The sequence below is a fragment of the Homo sapiens genome, chromosome 10 (genome assembly GCF_000001405.40).
Source record: "Homo sapiens chromosome 10, GRCh38.p14 Primary Assembly".
Lineage (NCBI taxonomy): Eukaryota > Metazoa > Chordata > Mammalia > Primates > Hominidae > Homo > Homo sapiens.
Genome location: NC_000010.11, coordinates 105644055 through 105671652, shown reverse-complemented (window position 1 = coordinate 105671652; position 27598 = coordinate 105644055). Strand labels below are relative to the sequence as shown.

The 27598-nt window shown below is 37.1% G+C and overlaps 1 long non-coding RNA gene across 1 annotated transcript in view; it reads right to left on the bottom strand.

Annotated features, from left to right (window-relative positions):
• The window catches only part of LOC107984266 (uncharacterized), a 40565-nt gene extending 13503 nt beyond the window's left edge, over nucleotides 1-27062 (bottom strand). Inside the window, exons 1-2 of the long non-coding RNA XR_001747580.2 lie at nucleotides 27027-27062; nucleotides 7717-7849 (exon numbers count right to left, since the gene is read on the bottom strand). This is a non-coding gene — a long non-coding RNA (uncharacterized LOC107984266). The remainder of the gene's footprint in view (nucleotides 1-7716; nucleotides 7850-27026) is intronic.
• Nucleotides 27063-27598: the final 536 nt, after the last annotated feature.

Genomic DNA, 27598 nt, shown 5'->3' with positions numbered 1-27598 from the left:
ACACCACAAAGAGAGGGAGAACTGAATCATTAGAACCTTTTACAATTAGTTTAAATTTATGTCATAAGACTTACCTTTGCTTAAGGTGCTCTTCCTGTCCATCTTGTCTTAATTGCACTTTTACCTACAACTTTTTTCCTTTGTTTGAGCAAATCATTGTACAGTATTTGGCCTGAAATCTCTGCTGTGTGCTTTTGAGATATAAATTTTCTATCTTGTTTCACCAAAGACTCATCCCTTTAGAAATGCGAATTTAGAGTTGCCCAGCTAACAATTGCTTAGGGCAATGAAACAGTAAATTAGAAGGGTGATACTTTAAATGGAGAGAAGAAAATCTATTTGAATGTCAGTAAAGGAGAATTGTCTATGAAATCAATAAGATCTGCTTCTGTCTGTATGTTTATAGCTTTATACGATTATGTGTATGTGATAATATTTGGTAAGTAAAGCCAGTTTTAAACTTGTTCTCAAAATAAAATAGGAATGTCTTTGGAATTGCCAGTTACATATAATTCAGACATTTTTGCCTGGGTCTATGGGTGAGAGAGTATTATGCTGTCTCTCATACATGTTTTAAGGTAATAAAACTGCTGCTCAGTAATATTTTTGATACTTCCTTGATTTGTCTGTGAGGTTATGTTTTTGGTTTTGGGGCCTCTGGATTCTAGGGTCTGAATAAATGGCCATGGTGAGGACTGGGTTTATGTCCTCAGCACTTGGACCACCAGCTGCAAGGCAGAAGAAAGCACAATATGATTCCATCCTCCTTGTCTCACCTTTGCTTCCTAGCCAGGCTGACAGCAATTAGATCCTCCAGGCATTATCTTCATAGCTCTGTTCTCTGTCCTGAACTCTACACCTGGTATGTCAATTCAGGACCCAAATGTATCATATCCTTCATAGCCATCCTTGGGTACCGCATGAGTATTTGGGACCCAGGACAACAGGGGAAGACATTAGGGAGGGTACCTCTGTCATAGGATCAAAATTCTTTTCAGTAATATAATATCTTAAAGTCATGTTATATTAAAATAAGAGATAATCATAGAATGGCTGAGTCATCTCTAAGTAAGTTAAAACACTGAAATATTAATTATTAAATATAAGTTTAAGTTTATATAATTTGGCATCTTATTTTCATATGGCATAGAAAAAATATATTTAGATTTGTTTACAAGTTGAGAAAACATCTTTCTACAAAAATTATGAAATGGTTTTTATCTACAAATATTGATATAAAATAGTTTGAAAATTATTTATTTCCTAGGTTTTCATTAGAAAGTGGGGTTAATAAGAGTTAAAACTGTGGTTATGTAATTAAAATGACTAGATATAAAAGAAACAGTTCTATATATAGACTGTATAAAGAAAAACAAAATATGTTTTTGATGAGATGAAACATAAAGGCATGAAAATTTGTGTTTAGTGAGAAAAAAATAACTTTGTGTTGTTTAAAAGTTAAAGATTGTTTCAAGTTGAAGGAAGAAAGATATAGATAAAACTAAATACAGAAAGTTGTGAAAAGAAGGAAAAAAATTTGTAAAAGATTCTAAAAGCTTTATGAAAATCTTGTGTAGTCAAAAGCTGACTGATATTGGATATACTCATAAGGTTTATTAAAATTTATTTTAGTATTGATAATACACTAATACAAAGGTAAAATTTGGTTTCCTCTTTTAAATAATAATTTTATGTAATATAATAAGAAACAGTAAAAATAATTTTACTCACCTTTTGAGTAAACTCCAAAAAATAACAGGGAAAAGGAGAGATGGATATATATATATATAAAACACATATATAGGTGTGTGTGTGTGTGTGTGTGTGTGTGTGTGTGTGTGTGGTGACTGTTCTAAATTGCTAACATGGTTTATGACCAATGTTTGGTTTATCAAACCCATATTCCTGGGAAGTCTCAATCAAAACTTCAGGTACATTTTTGCTACCTGATAGGCCATTTGAACACTTATAGAGGAGTTTCACTCAACTGTCATTTCCAGTGCATGTTTTATGGTTGTATAGAAGCTTTCTCAAGCAAGAGGGCTGTTGTTATAACAGTAGCTAAAAGGTTATACAGAAATGTGTTTTCCTCATAGGACATTCCTGGATAAATCTCCAATGATAGAGGTACTTGTTTCACTGGACAAGTTGTAAAATTGTTGAATAAGATATTACAGATACAATAGCATTAGGAAAAGCAAACTGAATTGCCTGGATTGCCTTGGTCAAAGGTGTTGCATATTGATGACAATCAGATCCATTTAGAGTGGAAACATAAGTTGGCCCCTTATAAAATAGTCACTGGAAGGCCTATGCATATGTTAATAGAACCTTATGTATCTTCTGCTACTAAACTCTGACATGACTGTATTCTGCAAGGCTCTAATGAATTATGTCAAAGTGTATTTTCACCAGATAATGAAAGCTTTTTATGATCCACTGACCAAGGGCAATCAAAGCCTTCACAACCTAGAACCCAGAGATTGGGTTTTCTAAGAATGACATCAAAGAAAGACTTCCCTTATCATCACACTGCAGCAAAACTTCAGGACCTTGAAACCTGAGTTCATAATCTTGCAGTACCCATTCTATGAATTTAGCATTTTCTAGAAAACCTTTTATTGTTATTTTAATATTATTATTATTATTATATTATTATTATTTAATAATATTAATATTAATATTATTTCAGTATGCCCACCACATTCTTCATCAAATAAATTTACTCAGTCTGGCTGAGCACAGTGGCTCACGCCTGTAATCCCAGCACTTTGGGAGGTTGAGGCAGGTGGATCACCTGAGGTCGCAAGTTAGAGACCAGCCTGACCAATATGGTGAAACCCTGTCTCTACTAAAAACACACAAAATTAGCCAGGCATGGTGGCAGGTGCCTGTAATCCCAGCTACTCAAAAGGCTTAGGCAGGAGAATTGCTTGAACCCAGGAGGTGGAGGTTTCAGTGAGCTGAGATTGCACCATTGCACTCCAGCCTGGGCAACAAGAGCGAAACTTTGTCTCAAAAACAAAAAAGATTTACTCAACCTCATACCCATTAATGGAAGCTACTCTACCAGAGCATTCTATCACTACTTTCCAATCTGGACTGTTTTCTCTGTAGGCTTGCTCCACAGTTTTTAATTTTAGACATAATTGTAAATTTAATTATAATTAAAATTTCTGCAAATATGTTCTTGTTTTTTGATTTTCTGCAAATATGTTCTTGTCTTTTGATTACTTTTTATTGCATTTTCTGCAAATATGTTCTTGTTTTTTGATTATTTTTATTGCATTTTCTGAAAATATGTTCTTGTTTTTTGATTATTTCTTTTTCATAACATTTGTTTTTGTTTTATAGATGTAATTTTTAAAATATTTCTGAGTTTATTCATTAATATACCCTCCCCTAATTTCTTTTATGATGTCTAAGTTATCTCTATTTCCTCTGGTGCCAATTTTCAATTTTTTAATTTTGGCCATTCTATCTCATTCTGCTGCTTTACTCATATGTCTGGTAATACCAACTATTAAAAAAACTATCATTAATAAAAGTCCACTACTTTTGTGTTAAAACTAATTTCCATTTGGAATTCTCACCTGGAGTTCTGTGTGAAGTAAGCAAATATGAGACTTTGCTTTAGGTGGATCAGTAAGAGAACTAGGAAGCCATCTGTCAGGCTTCAGGTTCACTCAAATTCAAGAGTGAAGGTTTCACCAGGGACCTGGCAATTTGTTCACTTTCACTGAGAAAGTGTCAACTGTTTTTGCTGGAGGTAAATGCCTGCTGCCTGATTTTTGTCTGCATTACAGATGGGGGAAACAAGTGAAAAAGTTGCTGTTTTACGGACCTTAGATTAATCCCTTTATCTTCAGTTTCTTTTTCTCATCCGTCTTAAACCTTTTATTTTTAATTGCATTTATCCAATATAGATCTACAAAAACACACGATTTTATTTCAGATGTTTATTTTGTTCTGTTTGTTTGGATTTGGCTTATTTTATATAAAGGATATAATCTTTACATATTAATCTGCATGTTTCTTCTTTTTACTGAACACTTGGAGTGAAACAGCTTCTACTTAGATGTCTATCCATATCAGGATATAAACCTACCTCATTTTACTTAACTGCTCTTTATTCCAATATTCTGTTGTTTATCTTATAATTTTCCTGTTGATAAATATTAAGTTGCTTCTGAATTTTAGGCTGCTGTGAGCATCTTTATGCATGCTACCTTGTGCACATGCGTGATTTATTTCTCCTGGATACAGATACCTGAAAGTGATTGTTAGAATAAAGAGTTTGCTCATTTCAAATGTATTAGCTTATGACATATTGATTTCCAAATGGTTGTACACATTTATCAGTGTAGTATGAGGTAGTATTTTCCTATAGTTTTGCCAACATTTGATATTAAACTAATTAATATTTGCCAAATGATGAGTGAAATCTTATATTGGTATAATTTCCTTTTCTTTTATTATAAAATTAGTCATGTTTCATGTTTATTGTCCAATTGGGTTTGCAGTTTTGCGAATTGCCCCATTTGGTATTAGATTTCTCTGTGTTTTTGTTTTGCTTTTTGTCTTATTGGCTTGTAGAATTATTGTACGAATTTTGTAACTTAATCCTTTTTATATTATATGTATGGTAAATAATTTTACCCAATATGACAGTTGCCTTTTGTTTCTGAAATGATACATTGGATCATTCTCCCATTTGGACCTTTAAACATATATATTCATATGTTGTAGAGAATAAGGCATTATAAAATTATTTTGACTATGAAAGTAAGACAAAAGTAGGAAGTATCTAAAATATATATCAACCAATATAGGGAAAAAGGGGCCAAAAGACACACACACACACAAACACACACACATAGGTCATTGTAAAATGCCTCTGACAATCTCAAAGGGAAAACAAAAACTGTGACAAGGTCCTGGAGCAGGTGGCAAAGTTAATAGACTCAGGTTTGCCAAGGAGAACAGAAGCCTTCTATTCTTCTGAAAAGAAGGAAAGATAAGAAGACTGACTTGGAATCAGAGTTAGACAGGGGAATAGAAGATGATAAAGTAGTGAAGCTTATATGTAGCATTACCAGATTTAACAAATAAAAATATAAGATATCTAGTTAAATTTGTATTCCATCCAGTAAGATTTGTATCATGAAATACCCAGTTAAATTAGTAATTTTTTTAGTGAAACTATATCTCAAACAATATTGGGATATACCTATATACAAAAAAGTATTCATTGCTTAAATTCAAATGTAACTGGACATCCTGCATGTTATCTGGCAATCCTACTCATGCTGTGGCCCTATTATTGATCTAAGAGCAAGATCATCTATGAAGACTTTAGTCTGAGAAGTATTTATCTACCGGATATCTTAATGACTAGTAATGACTCACAGACTTCCCAACATATTATATTAAAAAACAAACTCCTAGGCTATGCACAGTGGCTCACACCTGCAATTCCAGCACTTTGGGAGCCTGAGGTGGGAGGATTGCTTGAGGTTCGGAGTTTGAGAGCAACCTGGGCAACAAAGCAAGACCCCATCTTTATCAAAAATAAAAAAAAAATGACACCTTGAATCACTCAAGCCAGAAGCCCTTCCTTGATGTCTTCATCTACCTTACTGACAATATGTAATTCATCAGCAAGCACTGACAAATCTGCCTTCAAGATATACCTGAAACCCTATACATTTCTTTCCATACCTACTTCACCATCTGTATTGAGGACACCTAATCCCAGGACTGGATTAATCCAGTTGACCAAAGTGAACTTCACACCTTCCCTCACCACACATCCAGAGTGGACCATTTTTCCCCCAGCTTATAAACCTTTAGTTGGTTCCCTGTAAATCCATACAAAATCAAACTACTTATCACAGCCTACAAGACTGAATATGAGCCAGCTCCTGCCCTTCTCTCCACTGTTACCTTGTGCTGTCCACCCACCCACCCCAGCTCACTTGGTTTCTGCACCTGTTATCTTTAATCTTAGTTCAGCTTCTTTCCTTCCTTGTTAACCCATTTGCATACACTGCATTCCTTGTTTTCTTTAGGTTTTAGCTGAATATTACCACTGCAGGACACCCTTCTTCCTGACCTTATTCAATGTTGGCCTAGCAGGCTGGGCACAGATTTTACTTCCTCCACAGATACCAACCTTGAGAAAAAAACATGAGTGACTTTGAAGGATGTAATTCTGAACCCCACAAAAATGAATGACATGAGCACATTCTGGTCTCAATTCTCTCTGATTTTATTTTCCCTGTGGAGTTTCTGCTCCAAGCAAACTAGGTTATTCGCTTCCCCAGACCATTCCACATGCACATATTTGCAAACATCCTTTCCCTTATTAGATTGCCCCCTCCACCCTCTCGTTTGTCAGGATAACATTTTTTTCCTCACATTCAACTGAAGTTCTGCTCCCTCCATGAAATCCTGGGGCATTCCTCCTGCCTTCTTTAATTTTTACCTCCCTTGAACTACTATCATTCTGAGTATTGTATTCTGAGGCAGAGAATGCATGGAGCCTGACATTCTTGGTTTCAGTCCCACCACTGCCACTTACAAACTTTGTTTTTTAACTTCTCAGAGCTTTAGGTTCCTCAACTATGAAATATTGATGACAAGATGATGCTTACAGATTTGGAGGAAATAAAACAGATATAATAGCAGAGTTCCTGGCACACAGCAGACAATTTACATTAGTTTCTGTTTTCTTTTTCCTTCCTTCTGTTTGATATGTAGAATATGCCACCATAAGATCTGATGAGTTAATATAGATTGACAAGAGCATACTGATAAGGAAGAAAATTAATAGAGTCCCAGGACTGGCAGAAATCTTGGAGGTCATTGAACCCTTGGTTAGCACTCTCCTTAGGTCATTCCAGACTACTTCAGAAGAACAGCTATTCTCTTCTAAAATGCCCCTGTCAAGATTATATTATGAACTAATCTCCAAGAGGCTCCTAAAGGAATTAGATACTGAAATTTATTCTTGTCTCATCATAGGAACCACTGGAAGATGGTCATCCTTTTCCTTCTTATTCGTGCTACACATGCATCATCTAATTCTGTCTCAAATATGGAAGATTCTGATAAACTAAAAATATTGTTTTTGAAGTGTTTACTCTTTAAGACAGATACCTTTAAGATACTGATACTGATATCTTTAATATAGATATCAGTTATAGCTAATTGGGGTCATTACACTTGCTTCCAAATTACATTTACTTTAGTCTAAAGTTAACAGTTTTAACTTCTAAATGTTTTGCTTTCAATGTCTAAAAAATTATTTTAAATATATTTTAACTTGAAAAAGTCGCTTATCCCTTTCTCCTTGGATCATAACAAGAAAGAATTTTCAATGAAGGGAAAGAAGAGATAATTTTGTGGATTTTTTTTTCTTTTTAAAGTATCTGTATTCTGAAAATGAAAAACACAAATTTTAATTCTGAAGGAGAAAAAAAATCACAATGTAGATTGTATATAAAGTTATTACATGTGCAATGACTACAAAACATCATACTACAGTTTAATTGGCATGAGGTATTCATTTCTCACCATTGTCTTCGTTAATGGCAAAATGAAATCTAGTCAGACAATTTACCTTAGTGGGGGATACCTTAGTGCACTCTTCAGTCATTGAAAGTCTCTGGAACCTGAGCATCTTTTCCTTCCGGTCTCTCTAATGGTCCCTACCTGGATGCAGTACAAGATGCTGAGCTTCCTCTTTGCATATCAGATTCTGCTTAACATCAATTGTAAGGTGAACAGATTGGCTGATAGAACAATGTTGTCCTTCTCATTTCCTTTTCCAAGGTTTCTTCATTGGCTGGAGAGAAACAGAAATGGAACTTCTTTCAGGTTCTGTTTGGAGGATAATATGGCTTTGAGAAGCCAGATTAGGAAGCTTGAAAAAGGAAACTCCATTTTCCAAGTGGATTTGGTTCTAATCAGTCTGTTTCTGCAGAGAAATCCTGAAGTGGAGGGAAGGGGATGACTTGATCAGCTAGGTTGGGCCTATCAAAGAGTTGGATTTATTTGTATTTATTTTACATTTGTGCCAGCAGTGGAACCTCTTGAGGAAAGTACACTGTACATACATACTAAATATCAGTTACATCGGGTTCCCACATTCACGTTCCTCATAAAACATGATTGGAGCACAATAAATATGGAAATATGAAATGCATTAAATTAAAATGTTATTAGTTGAAGCAGTTGTAAGAATTTCTTATGCATAAACATAAAGCCATGGCTCCCATGAGAGCATCAGGCAGGATGTTTCCGGCAGTTTTCCCCATGGAGACCTGGAAAGCATTGGGCATTATAAAAATCCTTGCTCATTTAAAATAGATTTATATCAGCCACTGAAAAGTTCGAAACTATCGTCACTTTGTATGTCTTATACGATAGACTTTGTTTCCGGGTGAAAAAAATCTACAAATGCCAAAATAAATGTTGGGCTCTCATTTTGTTTTGGAATTAACCAACACTAATGCTAGAGAGAGTGATTTTCTAGTTTTTATCATCTATATATAATATATAAAAGAATAATGATTAATTCATTTTAAATTTATCTCTTCAATAAGTAGCTTGCAATGTGACTTTAGGCAAGTCTTATATATTTTCTAATGTCTCTCTTTCTCCAATAATTTAGGACTGGAGTGGAGTCGGTAGGAAGGAACAGTCTTTGAAGTTAGATGCGCCAGGTTGTAACCCCACTTCCACCAATTGGTAGGTCTGTTACTTTATGCTGTTTACCTAACTTCTTTAGACCTCTTTCTTTTAAGTTTTAGATAAGAGGGTAAGTGAGTAGAGTAGGATGATAACCGGTGCCTAATAAGTATTAAGGAGATAATAAATATTAACATAAAGCATCAGGTTGAGTAGCTATTATTGTAACATTTATATGTGTCATATACCTTGGCAGACATATTATAGGAATATGGATTCCAAGACATCAACTAAGTGCAATTGTATATCAAGCACCTACCAAAAGAAAAACACTCTATGCAACTTTTTTTTTTGAGACAGAGTTTCACTCTTGTTACCCAGGCTGGAGTACAGTGGCGTGATCTCGGCTCAACGCTACCTCCACCTCCCAGGTTCAAGAGGTTCTCCTGCCTGAACCTCCCGAGTAGCTGGGATTACAGGTGCGTGCCACCACGCCTGGTTAATTTTTTGTATTTTTAGTAGGGGGTTTCTCCATGTTGGTCAGGCTGGTCTTGAACTCTCGACCACAGGTGATCCACCTGCCTCAGCCTCCCAAAGTGCTGGGTTTATAGGCATAAGCCACTGCGCCCAGCCTCTACGACACTTTGTAAAACCATAAAAGATGTATGGGATAACGTACTGCACTTTAGGACTCTTTAAAAAAGGAGGAAACAAGTCTAATCCTCTCAAGAACACTGCAGACAAATAAATATTGCTGGCATCACATCTTCAGTATCTAGCAAAGAGCACTAGATCTCTGGATAGAGGCAGTCAAGCATGACTTCACAAAAATGATGACACTTGAGGGAGGGAAAGATAGAAAGAAACCATTCAGACAGGATGAAGAGCATAAACTAAAGCATTGAGTCAAAAAGTATATAGCAGCACATTTGGGGTCTGGGGAAGTAGAATCTCAGCTAAAGAAGAGGCTTTATTTATGCCCTAGTAGGAAGAAAGCAAGACAGCTAGGCTTGGGCTTGTAGCCATATAAATTCCAGAGCTACAGCAGTCCCTAAACTAAAGAAACAGAGTCTGGAGTCACCATAAATCATGGTTATTAGTTTTTTCAATGTAGTGAAGATTCTAGCAAATACCACCCAAGGTGGTGGTTAGAGAAGGGAAGATATCTGGGAGGGAACTGGGAGAACAGGATGAGAGGGATGCCAGGAGCCAGGCCTGCGGGTCTATCTTTAATTATTCCATTTCATTTCCAAAGAGGAGCATCCACAAGGCATTCATTGACAAACCCTTGTCTTTGTAGACATATGTTATGGGTTCAATGATTAGATTAAATTATTTAACAGGCAAGCTAGGTTTCTTCTTGCAGGAAACATTGTTCCTTTCTTTTCTATTCTTTTCTTATTTTCCCCTTTACGAAGATTTACCCTTTTCTCTGCTGGACACCATTAAACTTCTTGTTCTCTTCCCGGAGAGCTTGAGAAAATGTGCTTTTCAAAAGCCCATAAGAGCAAATTGGTGAAATGGCACTGAAAGTGAACGTGTTACACAACTAATAAGCCCTGTTACTCTCCATCCACCCCCCAGGCAGGAAGGTCAGAGCAAAGAGCCTTCCACAGGAGGCCCCCCTGCCCCACCACCCCGTGAATGGTGTGAAGCGTCTGCTTAGCACTCAGTCTTTGTTGGCTGAGGTCTGACAGTTTATTTTGAGCACTGATTCCACAAAGGTTGAGAGCAACATAAGGTGGCTCCGGAGACTTGAGGCTTCATCAGGAGTGGAAGAAAGAAGCCAGGCTTGTGGTTGTTGTTATCACTGGGGCCTACTACAGAGAACTAGTCCTGAGAGAGAACCTAGCTGTGCAAACTGGGCAAGCCCATGAGAAATGTGTAAATTCAACAGAATAAGAGAGGTAGTCAGTGGAAGAATTTGTAGGCTAGCAGGTTCCCATTTGGTCTTTTGCCCTAAGGTGCTGGTTCTCAAAGTGAGATTCTCATGTCAGCAGCATTAGCATCACCTGGGAACCTATTACAAATTCAAAATCTCACCTCTGCCCCCGACCTGACCTACTGAATCAGGAACTCTGAAAGTGGAGCCCATAAACTAGTTTTAACAAACCCTCTAAGCTCAAGAACTACTGCCCTAGGGAATAAACTCAGCCCCCAGATCTTTTCCTTTTGGTGCTAGGAACCTATGAGATTTAACTTAGAAGTTAGTGTATTACAAGACTGAAGTCATAATTCTAGGCTCTTCATTTCTGTCCAGTGATCTTTTTATAATGGTTTGAGGAGTCTAATCCATTACTAATGCAAATCAGCATTAGAATGACACTATTTCAAAACTTCCAAAGGTTGTTGACAGGAAGAATTAGAAAACTCATGCTAAAACTTCCTATCTGGTTATGCAATTGCTCCTAAATTCTATTGCATTTTGAAATTCAATCCAAGATTTTATTCTATTTTAGGCATTTTGTTCTATAGTAATAGGCACTTAAGAATCTTGTGGTCTTTTATGCATTTTTGAAGTCATGCTTTCTCATCTAATTGATTTTTTGCATTTCGGCAAAGTAAAGGATGTGTTTTTCTAGATAATTATATCTTTAGAACAAGACTGGTCACATATACTGGCCTGCTATCAAATGACTTTCTAATTTTGATTGTGTTGTAGATAAGCACTCACTCAATCACCATTAGTTTATTAAGAGAATTTTTTTTTCTTTTGCACAGGAATGTACTGGTCTTCTGAGTATACTGAATTAAATACAAAGGCACTACCCTCAAAGAAATTTAGATTTACATAAAAATAAATCTGTCAGAAAATATATGAAAGTGTCAGAAAATATACCAAACTATATTCAAAGGTAGCTGATGTAGTACAGCCTGGAAATCCCGTAGAAGGTGCCAAGATTCCTTATTTTCATTTGATTCTAATTGGAGAACTAGCAATCTGAGTTCTCCTTTATTTTTTTCTATGATATAAATGCTATCTTCTGAAACTATTATTCTCCCAGTCCTCGATTGTGTTATTCATGCCTGCTCTCACCTGTTTATGCCTGAATCTCTTGATTCAAGTCGATCATTTATTGAAATTACATTTGAGAAATAAAAAGAGTAGCTTGTCTATGGGAAAAAAAGTGAGAGTGGGGGGGTTAATGTGGGACTGACAAGTGGTGTATGCAGGTAATTCCACCAGAGACAATTGATGCTCCTCTACAATAGGAAACCAAACAAGATGAGATTTTCCCTAGTCCTCTGGGGAAATCATTCAAATATACACTCTTACCAAACTCTAATATTGTTCTTGCTTTTGCCTGTTTGCTTTGATGAAGCTGATAATAACAGAAATTTACATTTATTTGCATTTTTCTACTAGAAGTCACTGAAGCATCTCAGAATATCATTTTAAAGTGCATATGCCTATAAGTGGCAAAAACATGAAATGTCATACAAACGTAGGCAGGGAAGTTCAGGAATAGAATCATTTCAAGAATGAGCTGTGAGCTTGCACCCCTCTTTGTTTTTGAACTGGGTAGTACATAAGGAAGCATCTTTTTTTGTGAGTCTACTTCAGGCTGAAGAGATTATAAAAGCATTTCTTCCCAACTAACTAAAGCTTCTTCCGTTTCCGTTTCCATTTCTAACCATCCCCCAAACCCATGCACACACACACACAAACTAATTGGAAATAATAGAAAGACAAAGAGTTTTAAAGGTCATCTATTACATTCATTTCACTTTACAGATTTGAACAGTCTATCTCAGAGAAAATAAATGATTACTCCAAGGCCACAGAGCCAAATCAAAAAGCAGATAGAGGAGGAAAGAAGGAAAGTTGCCCCGTTCCCATAGTTGTACCCTCCAACACCTCACCATCCTGAAGGCTCCATGCTCAAGCTCAAAACTCGTATTAGGGAATCTCACCTGCTTTTTAAAAATTCCATTTCTAATTTTATGCTCTTTCTTGATGCAGATTACCTTTTTCACTTGATTGACTAGTTGTGAAAGAACACTGGTCCCTTCCAGCTCTGAAATGTTGAGATTCTGTGATTCAGGTTAATTTGCGTGAGTCAATTCTAAAGGCATTTGCTGGAGCTGACGCAGAATGAAAATAGACCTTGGCAGCTTCAGACTCAGCTACTTTCTTCTTAGACGTTTGTAATTTTGTGATTTACTTCCTAGGGCTTCTAAGGTGCATTGGTGGCCATGGGGAGGCATGATTTTAAAGAGGAATTAAAATAGAAACTTTGAGAACACATGGACACAGGAAGGGGAACACCACACTCTAGGGACTGTTGTGGGATGGGGGGAGGGGGGAGGGATAGCATTAGGAGATATATCTAATGCTAAATGACGAGTTAATGGGTGCAGCACACCAGCATGGCACATGTATACATATGTAACTAACCTGCACATTGTGCACATGTACCCTAAAACTTAAAGTATAATAATAATAAAATAAAATAAAAATAAAATAAAATAAAATAGAAACTTTGGAAAACTTACAAAAATTAAAGGCAAAACCTGAGTTAACAATTTAAAAAACAAAAGAAAACTTTCTGCCACTACAAAGCACAGAAAGTCCCCATCAGTCTGTCAGAAAGTTTCCATCCATTTTTCAGCTACTCTTAGAGTAGTTGAAAGGAGCATTTAGAGACTCTCTCCTATCAACTGGCAGAGAGCCTAGCAGACTGTGTGGCAATGGGTCCCAGCACCATCACCTAGTACTGTAACTGGGTGATGTTAGATGAGTTACTTAACCTCTCTGTACCTGGGCATCTTCATCTATGAAAGGAACAACACTAGTACACACTTAGACATTTGTTGTTGTGAAAAATGAGTTCGTACTTGCAAAGCTCTTAGAAAAGCATGTGAAATAATAAGTGGTCAAAGATGTTAGTAATTTTTTTAGTTATTGTTAATATTAATGCTAAATATGAAGTACATTAAGTTGGTAAAGCCAGTTTTCTACAAAATAATAAACCATTCTATGGTACTTCTCAGTGCACAAGGTCTTTTCTGCTACCTGATCTTATTTGTTCATCACACTACACTTTGAGGGAGGAGAAAAGATCTTCATTATTCCCATTTTATAGATTACATAACTGAGACTAAAATTTAAAAAGAGGAATGAATATACCCAACTTTTACACAGGCAAATGGGATTTGAACTCCTGACTCAAATCCCATGTTCTTTGCATTTACCATGTTTAGTTACTTAGAGGCAAATGTTGCTATTTCAAATTCCTGGATTGAAGTTAGAGTGAATGTTCCCAAACTAAAATAGTGCTGATCGCTTGAACTAATATAATGTATTAGTTATATGTAACTGACTTTCAAAAAATTATTATCCATGCATTATAAAAATTGAAAATAATATAATAGTACAAATGATTTAAAAATTTAGTCCCTATCCCAAGATTCTGGTCTCAGAATCTACGTCTAAAACCAAAATTATAGTTTCAGAATAAGTTCATGCAGGAATTGAGCATAACATACGTATTGTTCTGCAACTTGTTGGGTTTGTTTTGTTTGGGGATTTTAGATTAACAATAGGTGTTGGACATCGTTCCATGCAAGTATACCTATTTCTAATTATTTTCAGTGTTACAAAGTATAGCACTGTGTGGATATAGCATATCTTAATCAGTTATTTTCCTTAGTCTTTTACTGTAACACGCAATGCTATAAATATGGACCTGAAGGGCTTTTGGAAACACAAATATTTTTCTTTTTGAAGTTTACCTATCAGAATTAATGTGTTCAATTTTCACATTGCAGCAACTCCTTTCATGAGTTGACCCTTCCTGAGAAAGTCTTTGAATATTCTCAGCATTCTGGGAGTCTTTATTTCACTCCCACAGGAACAAAGCAACCATTAACCAAGAGGACAATGAAAGGGTAAAGAATGCAGAGAAGAGCTTTCATTCTGTGTTTCATTCTCTTCATGATGATGGGGTCAACTGTGGGAGGAACAGAACATTGTAGTCATATATCTGAATCTTATCATGAATACAGATGTCACATCTTATTCTAGGGCCATTTGAACACCATCCAACAGACAAAAAAGTGATAACAATAAGACAAAGAGCATCAATTTTTTTAAAACCTAAAATGAAATCTTATTCTGCAGCCAACTGTTTCTTTGTTAACATTAAAGGAACTCCCTCAGTGAAGGAAAAAACTGTTTTATGTTTTTTTTTTAATTTTACCATTTAGCTTGTTTAAAATTAATTTTTATTTTTAATCAGTGTCATTTATCTATCTCTGGTAAAAAATTATCACTTTTAACTGTTTATTCTTCTATAATCTTCCATCTTAATACATTGCATTTTACTGTGTTTTTTTCCCAATTTTATAATATTTCTTTCTTGTTAAAATAGTTAAGAATTTTTAGCTCTGTACCATACATACCCTATACAATTTGTGCAATTGTATAGGCTATTCCATGGCTGAAATCTTTCCAACACAGTTGTATCACTCTTGAGAGAAACTGAACCAATTAAGTTTGGCATTATTCTAACTATTTGCATGTGGTACTACAAATCTAGAATGTATGCAATTACATTTGTATTCTTATATTTCTTTTTCTTTTTCCTTTGTGTAATAATGGCTTTTTCCCTCTAAACTTTTTATTTTTTGTCACCAAGCTTTTTCATTATTTGTTTTTCCCCTAAATTTGTTTTTTCCCCTAAAAGATTTGTCAAATGTCTATAAATTTTGTCCAAATGCTCAAATATTTTCAAACACAATATAGGATTCTAATTCTTTTTCCTTTGAAGGCATCCCTCTTGTAGTCCTTCAACTTCCTGCTTTAATGTAAACTGTTTGCTGTCTACTGCACAGCAGTGGACCTGGCACCTCTCATCTGGATGGGATTTCCTGTTTCTTGGATCCTAAATCTCATTATTTTTTTCTTTATGTTGCTGAGTGCACTTGCTAGTAGCTTATCAAGAAAGGGTGCCTAGAAGCACATTTTTAAAGTCCTTTTATTTATACAAATGTATCAATTATACATGAAACCAATAGTAATGGTTAGATACAAAATTAAAGTTTGAAAATTATTTTTTGTCAACATTTTGAAGGTATAAGTCTCCAGCCTCCAGGCATGTGCCATGGCTAGAACAGGTAATGCCATTCTTCCTCTTGGTCCTTTGTAAACTCCATTCTGCTTTTGCTGTTGCAGTGGGGCCTGATAAGATGTCCTGGTGTGGATGTTTTCTCTCTCTCAATGGCCTCTTTCAATCTTGAGAATACATATCCTGCTGTCCTGGGAATTGTTTCTTCTGATTTATTTGAAAATCCCCTATGCTTCATTTTATCTGTGCTCTCTCTTTCTGGGGAATTTCCTTGACTCTATCATCTAATCTCTTTGTTGTTGTATTGTTTTTGTTCTTATTTTCTTTGCTATCATATTTGTAATTTCTAAGAGCTCATTTTTGCTTTTTGTTTTCTTATCTCCCTTAAATCTTATGTCATTTATAGCATCCTGTTTTTATTTCATGGCTTGTATTAGTCTGTTCTCACATTGCTATAGAAGAAATACCTGAGACTGGGTAATTTATAAATAAAAGAGGTTTGGCCGGGCACTGTGGCACACGCCTGTAATCCCAGCACTTTGGGAGGCCGAAGCGGGTGGATCACGAGGTCAAGAGATTGAGACCATCCTGGTCAACATGGTGAAACCCCATCTCTACTACAAATATAAAAACTAGCCTAGCCGGGCATGGTGACTTGGGAGGCTGAGGCAGGAGAATCACTTGAACCTGGGAGGTGGAGGTTGCAGTGAGCTGAGATCGTGCCACTGCACTCCAGCCTGGTGACAGAGTGAGACTCCATCTGAAAAATAAATAAATAAATAAAAAATAAAAGAGGTTTAATTGGCTTATGGTTCTGCAGGCTGTACAGAAAGCATAGTGACTTCTGCTTCTGGGGAGGCCTCAGGAAACTTCCAATCATGGTGGAAGGCAAAGGGGAAGTGAGGTGTCTTATATGGTGGGAGCAGAAGCAAGAGGGGAGAGGTGCTATGCATTTTTAAATGATCACATCTTATGAGAACTCACTCACTATAGCAAGAACAGCACCAAGAGGATGGTGCTAAATCATTCATGAGAAATCCACCCCCATGATCCAGTTACCTCCCACCAGGCCCCATCTCCAACACTGGGGATTACAATTGAACATGAGATTTGGATGCAGACACAGATCCAAACCATATCATGGCTATTAAATCTTGCCTTAGTTCTCTAAAAAAATTAACAATAGACTTTTTTTTAAATTGTATTCTTCTCCCTGTGTGGAATCCATTTTTCTGAAGTCTCTTTCCTTTGGACTCCATCTTACATATTGAGGTTCTCATCAAGTATCTGATAATCCTTGGTTATTTATTTGAATTGTAGAGTAAGACATTAAATCTCTGATAGAATCTCTAGATGCAATGGAAGTTCTTTCTGACTTGAGGCCTTTATAGTAGATTGGATAACAATTCTGATTCTTATTATAAACTCTTCAAATGCTAATATCTGTTTTCTTTAGGGTTATTCTATTTCCCTTAAAAAAATCCTCAAAGTCCATTCCCTGGGTGTTTCTTGTGCTTTGGTTGGATGGGTGGGTAATACATCTCACCAACCTTACTCTGGGAACAGGGCAGGGTAAGAAGATTGGGTGACTTATGATTCACTTCGCATACTTTCCTAATGCTCATATTTTCTCTCTTGTACCTAAATACAATTTACCTACCACAAACACCAGGACCAGCTACATAATTTATAGGGCCCAGTGCAAACTAAAAATATGGGACTTCTTCAAAATTATTAAGAATTTCAATTTTGACATCAGAGTATTAAACAAGTATGAGGTTCTTTTAAGCGTGGTATTCTGTATAATTGCACAGGTTTTACACCCATGACTTTGGTCCACACAAACACACACTCTGTCCTCTGCTTTGTTCAGTTTCTCCAGAAAAGAATGAATATCCTGTCTTCTGAGAGATTATAAAAGTAATAATAATCTGGCTAAGAGGCATGAGAATGAGGATCTGGGGAATGAACTTTAAGCCAATCCACCTGTTTCAGTCTTACACCTAACTCTCATTTCTGTGACTCTTGGTACCTCTAAGAATTCAGTCTTTTCAGGACTCTATGGGACAAAACAGTTCATTTCTCCCATTTTCATAATGATCACCCTCTGTAGGCATGGTCTAGTCTTCAAAATGAATTGCTTCTTCACATTTTTCAAAACTCTGCTGATAACAATTATCAGTACAGTCTCCATTCTCATGATGTTTTTCCTTATGTGCTTATATCTTCTATTTTTTAATGTAATTTTGTGAGAATATCAAATGGAATAGATATAAAAGCATTTTCTTTCCCAAACTGTCATGTCTAACCAGAGCAATGATATAGTACTTGGTCATTTTCTTCTTTTAGTATATTTATAAAAGATATCTCATTTTACCCTCAAATGACTTAATATATGTCCACCCTTGGCTAGATTTTACTTTACTGAGTCATTTAAGATTCTGAGATCTAAGTTTGAATGCATTTTTCTCTCAAATGCCTCCTATTTCCACCTCCTCCTCCCAATCTTTAAAAAAAGGTGGGTGGATGTCACTTTTTCTGGAAAATAGAATAGGTTATGTCATATATTCATTGACCCAAATATTTCAGGACAGTATATGTCTTGTTCCAACCAATCTGCTGCCTGAAGAAGATAGGATATTGAATTCTTAATTGCAAGCCATTACAAAACTAGCTGTTTTGTATCAACTAACATATAATCAGTAGTTAACGATTCTCCATTGGTTTCAAGACAAAAACCTCAAATTTAATTAGGACTCTGAGGCACAGCCAAGAATTTGGTGACTGATAACCATTCTGACAGAACTAAAACTTGAGGAAGTAGAATGGCAGTAGAAACCTTGAGTACTAATGAGGAAATGGATTATTTTGACCTTAGAATGTTTGCATATACCAGTGCAATACCATTTTAAACAGAATTCTTGGTTCAGACTGCAAACAGCGTTGTTTCAACTCTTCCTTGCTAGAGCTTCACTTAAAATTAATACAATGTGCTGTGTCAGTACCCAATTTTCTAGCATAACTGAAGAGACAGTAAACTATCAAGAGAATTAATTGGACCAGACTCAACTTGTTGATGATCTCAGCCATCTCAGAATCATAGAAGCCTAATAGATCCCAGCTCTCCCAATTGGTTGTGTATCGACTGTCTAATTAAGAAGCAAAACTGTCTAAGGTGATTTAAGATCTAGCCTCATTCTACAATGAGATGGATGTCTTGTCAAAAATCTGATAAAATATTCACCACCACAACCTTTTCAACCCAGATGCTACTCAGTCAAATGTGGAAAAAAGAGTGGAAGAAAGAACATATATTTTTTGTGTGAATTTTTTTTTAAATTTTTGTAAGGACTGTTGTCCTATTTTATTTCCCTAGGACTGAATGACTATCTTCACTACATTTCTTAGAACTAGGAAAATAAATGAGTATGGGCAGATTTGTCAGATAACTATTTTGAGGGAAGGTGATTAAGATTTTCTTCTTGTAGTATGGCCTGCTCTACCCTGGCCTCTTTTAAGAGAAGGAAGCAGTAGTGAAAGTCCAGAACTAAGTATCTTGTTACCCCTGACAATAGAGAGCCAAAAACTTTGAAGAGGTCTTTCTTCATATCTCCCTGCCAAAGGACTTTCCAAAGTTACTCTCCGTGAAATTTAAGGCTGCTGCCTTTAACTCTTATGAAGCCAAAGCACTTCACTTTTATTTTTCCAGCAATGAAAAATACCCTAAGCACTCTTGATTCAACAAAAATATAAAGAATTAAGAAAGGTGAATTCTCTTTATCACCTTTTTATAGGTGAAGTGTTCCACTGACAACATGTGAATTGATGTTCCCCAAAGCAGAGTAAACTTGTGATAATGTAGAAAGAACACCTACCTACCTGGAAATTTGGGTGTCTAGTTCAGTTCTTTGATCTTCTAGCTATATAGCCTTAGATAAATCTATTAGATTCTTTGGATCTGAGTAGTCACTTTTTAAATTGAGAATAATGACACCTGCTCAATTGTTTGTGGAATTTATTAAATGTTTCCTCTATGTCATACCTTTTGCTATATGCTCATATTAAAGCTATTATTTTATTTTAGTCTGTACAATAATCTTACTATTAGATGTAACGTCAATATAAGGTTCAGATAAGTTAAATTACTTAAGGAAGGTCACACAGTTTATAAGCAAGAGAATCAGGATTCATAGTTAAGTCAGTATGGCAATGCAATTTATAACCGAAAGCCATACTGTTCGGTATGACTATAGACCAACCATTCCATATCTTTTTGACATCAGTCCTTATCTATGAAGTGGAGCAAATAAAATTATTATTTCATAGGGTTGTGAAAAGATTAAATAAGGCAATGCATGCACAATAATTAGACCTATGCACACATGAAATAAAATCGTTGTTGATATAATTATTATAATAAAAATAATGAGTATTAGTAAATGTTTTTAGCATCTTCAGGGCTTATCACTTAGGATCTGTTGCCATTCATTAGCTGGCTGAGAAGCTTCTAAATTAGCAGTATGCGGGACCTCATGCTACTCACGGGGGCTTAGAAGCCCATTATGCCCCATTATCTTTGGGGGATTTCATCTACCATTCCTAGAGGAAGTCTGAGCACTGTACTCTTTCTCAGTTTGTATCAGCAATAACAAGCCTTCCCTGTTAGCCAAAACTCCCATGCTGATACCAGAAAGTGTTTGGGACAAAGCAGATGGTTGTTCTCTTCCCCAGTTTCAGGAAATCTCACAAAGACTAGGCAGATTATACATAGTTTGGGCTTGGAAAGGAAGAGTATCCTAAATACTAGAGTATCCTAAAGATGGTCTAGAAACTGTGATTAATGTTAGTAGGTTTCTTTTTTTATCATGTGAGCATTACTTCTTCCCACTCAGATCCCCAGCGTGATGATACACCGCATGACTTCTCAAAAACCATACTCTGTAAGGCAACTGCAGGTGGAGTTGTATTCTGGTAACCAGAACCCATTCTAACTCTCTGCAAACATATTGGTTAATTCCTGTTAAGTGCTGAAGTGGTGGTGCCACAGACTGTGGGTGGGCCATTTTAGACCGAGATGTATGCATTTTCTCAGATTAGGACTTCCAGAGCATCAACAAATCACATTAGGGTTTAGGTTGCTGTCCAAGTCCTCCTTTGCTATTCTTCCCCTCTCCCTGGCCCCCCATCATTATGTGAAACTCCTATCTCATCTCAGTTAAACAGGCAGCTGCACAGGCCCCTGGAAAGCCAACAGATATATTGAAGTTTTGGTTTCTGCAGCACAGCCCTCAGGGTGTCTGTGCAACTGTCAGGATTGATGCGCTTTAATGGTCTTCTTGGAAGAAGCCGCCTTGTGTGAAATAGTTGCCTCTTGAACTGGTCAAATACTTGTTACTGGTCTCCCCTGCTGTGAGGTGGGATGATCCCTGACAGATAAATAGCAGCCAGAGTTAAAAGGAAGCCTCTTAAAATAAAAGCAATTCATTTCCCTTTTCTATTTTAAAGTGCAGCTTTGCAAGGGGCCCTCGCCTCATCTTCCTTTTCCTTGTTGCAGCAGCCCCCATAATGAACTCCCCACATATAATGAGAATGTATGTATGTAGGGCAGGAAGGCCTGCCCCTATTCTGGGAGAGCAGCGTGACAATTGCTGCTTGTTTATTACTTATTACTGAAAGGCATAAAAGAGGCTGCTGCAACAAAGCAGCCTCAAAAGAATCACTGGGGGGAAGGTCAGAGCCCCCAGAATGAATCTATATTTATGGAAGGATAGAGATGGTCAATCAGAGGGTCTCTTAGAAGAAAATACAATAATCAGAGCATGCTGGGGCCCATTTTAACAGTTTGTTCAAAATGTATGTTTCTTACCAAAGTTGGTGTTTTTGCAGATTAGTTTCCTATTGAATTCCGTAAATAGAACAGAGGTAAGCCCTTAAAAGGAAAAATCAGAGGCAAAGATTGTGGTGAGCAAGAGGAGACAGGGGACAATATAACAATTTTAAACATGGCATTTGGAAGAAAGAATAGACTTGAAGAAGGCAAGGAATTCAACAACCAATGGGTTATGTGGGCAATTTCTGTTTGCCAGTGTCTCTGCAGCGCAGTCGGGGTCTTGCTTTAAATATTTTTGCCTGAGCAATGACCCAAACACAGACACAGTTTAGTTATTTTAGTCTCGGAGCCATTTTTGGCAGAAGAGCCATTCGTGCATTTATTCTGGAGGCCAAAGGAAGAGATTGCAAGTAAATACTAAGTTAAGATAGCTAGTCAGGCAAGCTGGGGAAAAATTTAAAAAAAAATTTTTTTTTAAACTACCTTAGGACACTTGCCTAGCTTTGAATAATAAATGTCTTCCAAATAACACTGTGGATTCAGTTAAGGACAAGATTCACTCTTGTCAATAGCAGTAAAAATGGAGAATTAGCAAAATATTTCGTGCTTCTCTTGCATTCAAAGGTGGAATTTTGTGAGTATCTGGAAATGTTGAGGCAAATGGTTTTGTTTGGAGTATTTTGAGTTAATCTGTGCAACAGTGAACTGCTTTACAGACTTTAAGATACATTTCCAGTTTAATATATAGATGGAAAATAACTTCCTTCCTCACTTCTCAGCCGGTCTGTATATGCTGGAAACCAATTTTTAATGTTTTAGATGTGAATCAGTAAAGCTGTTAAGTGTGAGGATTTTCAATTATATGGAGATTATTCTGGATAAGAAAAACTTGACTGCAGGTAACAGTACTTGGTCTCAGCAGAATTTACAAACTAAAATAAATTAGGCTTATGTTATCAAATAGCTATTTATGTCTTATTAACTATCTTTATTTATTGGGAAATGATGGCATCTGCTAATCCATAACACATAAGCACTCTTGATAATCAAAAGAGCAAAACACTTTTTAAAACATCATTTGCCAGGAGATGATGTTTTAAATGAGTTTAAGATTTAGCAGCTCAGTTTCACTTCCTGTTGTCTAATTTAGGCCAACTCTAAAATTGCAATTTTGGGAGCAATCCCTAACAGCTTATGCCATGAGATTTCAACAATAAAAGGTCCCTGCTTAAGGATTCAATCTTCCCATCCACTGACATAGGTCTGAGGCAGTTTGAGTTAAATTGCCTTGTGGAGTAAGGTTAAAGACTTTTGAATGGGATCAGATGTAGGTTGATGAATTCGGGATTGCAGATATTTTCATTACAAGGAGCACTACCTTGCTGCAGCTGGAACAATAGTTTTTAATTAATCTGAATAAACAGTGGGGCTTTGATAAACAAATAATAACCATCAAATTAAATAGCTTTCTGGGAGGAAAACCTTCCAAAGTGGCAGTATTGCCTTTGGGCTTTTGAGAGATTATATACAATAAGAGGCTCACTGCATTTTTTTTTTTTTTCTTGAGACGGAATTTCGCTCTTGTTGCCCAGGGTGGAGTGCAATGGTGCGATCCCGGCTCACTGCAGCCTCTGCCTCCCAGGTTCAAGGGATTCTCCTGCCTCAGCCTCCTGAGTAGCTGGGATTACAGGCACATGCTACCACGCCCAGCTAATTTTTTGTATTTTTAGTAGAAATGGGGTTTCACCATGTTAGTCAGGCTGGTCTCAAACTCCTGACCTCAGGTCATCCGCCCACCTCGGCCTCCCAAAGGGCAGGGATTACAGGCGTGAGCCACTGCACCCGGCCAGCTCACTGCATTTTTTGAGGAAGAAAGGGAAATCGAGTTCCTGTATTGAGGTGCAGGGAGAAGTATGGGATTTACCTGGAATTGCAGGAATGTGAGAACAATGGAATTTTGGATCTGAGTGGGATGTTGATCATTATGTATACCATCTAGCCCCTTATAATGTCCAAAATGGGAAAAATATTGAACTGTAAAGAGCAAACAAAACTTGCTCAAGGTCTTATGTTTCATATTCATAGGAATAATCATAGATTATAGGAGTGGGGGAATCTATATTCAGCTTATTCAGGAAAGGGATTGTAGGGAGCAAAGGCAATACCTCCCTTTTGCCCTCTGCAGTTTCAGTGAAAAACCAACTGAAAAAAGGCAGATTAATAGGAGAAAAGGTATGAAAATTTATTTAATGATAGTTTTATGTCACACAGGAGACTTCAGAATGAAGACCAACAAATACAGAGAAAACTTTCCATTGTTATGCTTAGGTTTAATAAACTATGGACCGTTGTGTAGAACTGTGATTGAACAAAAAGGGTATGAGCTAATGCTAATAGATGGAGTGGGAAAATCCAGCAAGGCCTGTCTGCTTAGATTCTTCTTGGCCTTCCAAGAAGAAAGGAAGTACAGCTTTCCTTCCTTCTGGATGTGGGGCTGGACCCTCTCCAAAAGGAGGTCTTATGACCTACAATCAAACTAGGTAGGTCAGATAATTTTTTTACAGCCAGCTCTTACACAGAAAGGTAAAGGAAAGTTAGAGTCATATTTTTAGGTTTTATGGCTGGCTTTGGGGAAAACAGGTTCTGGTTTCTATAATCTGGCTTGGAGAAGAGGGATTCTAGTTGCTATGGCTAGCCTTGGGGAAAAGTGAGAAGCAAGAGATAAGAGGACAGGAGAAGGTCAGAGAGAAACTTTTGCTTCTGAGGCTTTCACTTTGGCATATTATTTTCTGATCCAAACAGAATGCAATTAAAAACCTTATAAATCTTAATAAAAAGGTTCTGAGTTTCCAATAACTAGAAATTCATGATATCCATGATGTCTCCAGAGGTTTGCATTAATGAGGGACCGCTGACCTATGTCATGTATTGGGCAGAATCATTATCAAATGCATTATCCCAAGAGATCTATGTCTTCAAGATTTAACTCAGATCACCACATTCTAGAACGTGGTGTTTTGAATAGAAGCATTACATCTATCTAACCACCTTTCCCCATCTGTGGAATCCAGGCAGTTTCACTAGAAAGGACTTCTTAGTAAAAGCAGCATTACCAGCCAGCTCAGCCTGCTATGACCCTGCTCACCATTGCTATTCTCCCTGATCTCCCATATAAAAAGATGAAAGGCCAGACTGCTGTGATTCCTCTAAGACTCAGTTCCTTCCATCCTGGGGTGTGAGTTGTGATACAACACCAATAAAAATTCTAATCAGTCATTTTCCACCTTCAGTCACCTCCTCCAGCCTCAGACTCAGGTCTCCATTTTGGGTGGGATTTATTGGCACCTTTTGTTAAGCTATGGGCAAGGGGAAGGATGATGACCAAAATGTAAAGTGAAAAACAAACTCTCTAGAAAACCAAAAAGGGTGCTGTAAAGGTGCCACAATCTCTATTTGTACCTAAATTATTATTTTGTTACCCCTGTAATTATTATTTTTTGTTTTATCAAATGTTTCTCTCATCTTTTTTGAGACAAAGTCTCACTCTGTCATCCAGGCTGGAGTGCAGTGGCACAATCTTGGCTCACTGCAACCTGTGTCTCCTGAGTTCATGCAGGTCTCATGCCTCAGCGTCCCAAGTAGCTGGGACTACAGGCGTGCGCCACCAAGCCCAGCTAATTTTTGTATTTTTAGTAGAGACAGGGTTTCACCATGTTGGCCAGGCTGGTCTCAAACTCCTGACCTCAGTTGATCTGCCCTCCTCAGCCTCCCAAAGTGTTGGAATTACAGATATGAGCCTCCACGACCAACCAAATGTTTCTTTCTTGAGGCCAGCAGAGTCTTGGTATGTCCCCAAACATTTAAGGTGGGCTTATTGGAAGGTTTACTGTACAGACAGGATATAGATGCATTATTTGGGTGGCAAGTAGAAGCCACCCAATGCAGAAGCTAAGACAAACAGCTTCAGTGATATCTTTTTTAATGTTTCATTGTGTCATGGTGAAGTCCTTCTATGTGAAAAGACATACCTTCTCCCTTAAGATGAACATAAAATACAGTTGCAGCTCTTACAAGTTTTTTTAAATCCTACCTTAATCACAGGAAGATGGATATAGAGTATCTTGGAAGGAGGAGGAATAGGGTGGAGGATGGTAGTAATGAGGGTCTGAGGCTGGTAGCAGCACGGAGGAGAAAGACACAACTCAGCTTTCTCACGGAGGAGAAAGACACAAGGAGCAGCTTTTGTTGCCTCCCTCTTTTTCATAAATACCCTCATTGTACTTTACCTCCCACATCAAGATATGCTTGCTGGCAATTTATGCCATCCTACATGCATGGTACATGCACGCACGCATACATACACACATTCACACAAATACACACAATCTTGCATCCACGGCATTCACCTACCAAAAGAGTCACATATATCTTCTACAGCAACATCCCAAATTTTTTACCATCTCCAAAGCCAACACTTACTTAACTTTCTCCCATCTCTGTTATCTCCCAGAGTGCCTAATAAAATATATGTGCTGATGAATGTTATCAAATATTTCCAGGACCATCTAAGATTATGTGCTAGTAATCATCTGGTGACAGCAGCCCTAGAAGTTTTTGGCTCATTTAGAAAAGGAGACATCTAGAGAAGAAGTATTTGGCTAAAATCAAGACCCAGAAGGCCAGTCCCACTCTTGAATGTTGCACCCAAAGTTTGCTTCACTGGCGGTGAAGTCAGTTTGTGATTCTACATTCCTCCTGCGTTGTCCAGTAAAGAGCATCCTTGGAAGAGCTTCCACAGTTTGCTGACCACAGGCAGAAGCTTCCACCAAATCCTCAGATTAGACCCCTGGAGATGGTGTGTGTGACCATGAGCACATGACTGTGTCATTGAGTTTGTTAAACTTTTTCCCACTGCAGAAAAACAAACAGAACCTTCCACTGGGAAACTTTTCAACAAGGATTAAGCAATAAAAGTATGATAAACAGGATTTTCTTCTTGCTCTCAAAGACAGCTGGATGATCATTCTCTACTGAGAGTTCTCCACTTTGCAAAATGAGATGAAAAAATACATAATATATTTTTTCTCCCCCAAAATACAAAATATAGGGCATGGACTAAGTAATTTGACTCCAACAGTGAGATGTGGGAGAGTGAATTAAAAATAACTCATTTGCATTTATTTACTATCTACTATGGATGACATACTATGCTGAGCATTATATATTCCTTGTATATACTTCTCACGTGAACCATGTAAAATGGCCAAGGTTATCCAAAGCTGGGTCAGCTGGTTCTGTCATCCACCTTTCCCAGTGTACTGTTAGCAGTCTTTCCTGGAACACACCTGTATTAGTCAGGGTTCTCTAGAGGGACAGAACTAATAGGATATATGTATATATGAAAGGGATTTTATTAAGGAGAATTGACTTACATGATCACAAGGTGAAGTCCCACGATAGGCCATATGCAAGCTGAGGAGCAAGGAAGCCAGTAGTGGCTCAGTCCGAGTCCCTAAACCTCAAAAGTAGGGAAGCTGACAGTGCAGCCTTCAGTCTGTAGCCAAAGGCTGAAGGTCCCTGCCTGGTAAACCAATGATGTAAGTCCAAAAGTTCAAAAGCTGAAGAATTTAGAGTCTGATGTTCAAGGGCAGGAAGCATCCAGCATGGAAGAAAGATGAAGTTGGGAAAACTAAGCAAGTTAGCTTCTTCCTGTTTTTCTAGCTGCGCTGGCAGCTGATTTTATGGTGCCCACCCACATTGAGGGTGGGTCTGCTTCTCCCCGTCCACTGGCTCAAATGTTAATCTCTTCCAGCAACGCCCAGAAACACCCAGATACATCCAGAAACAATACTTTCCGTGCTTCAATCCAATCAAGTTGACACTTAATATTAACCATCATAGCACCTATTAAAAATGACAAAGTCATGTCAAAGAAATGGAGGATTTTTATATAAAAGGCTTCCCAAATAGTAACGCTTCTTGAATAGGAAACATTTTGTTCTCT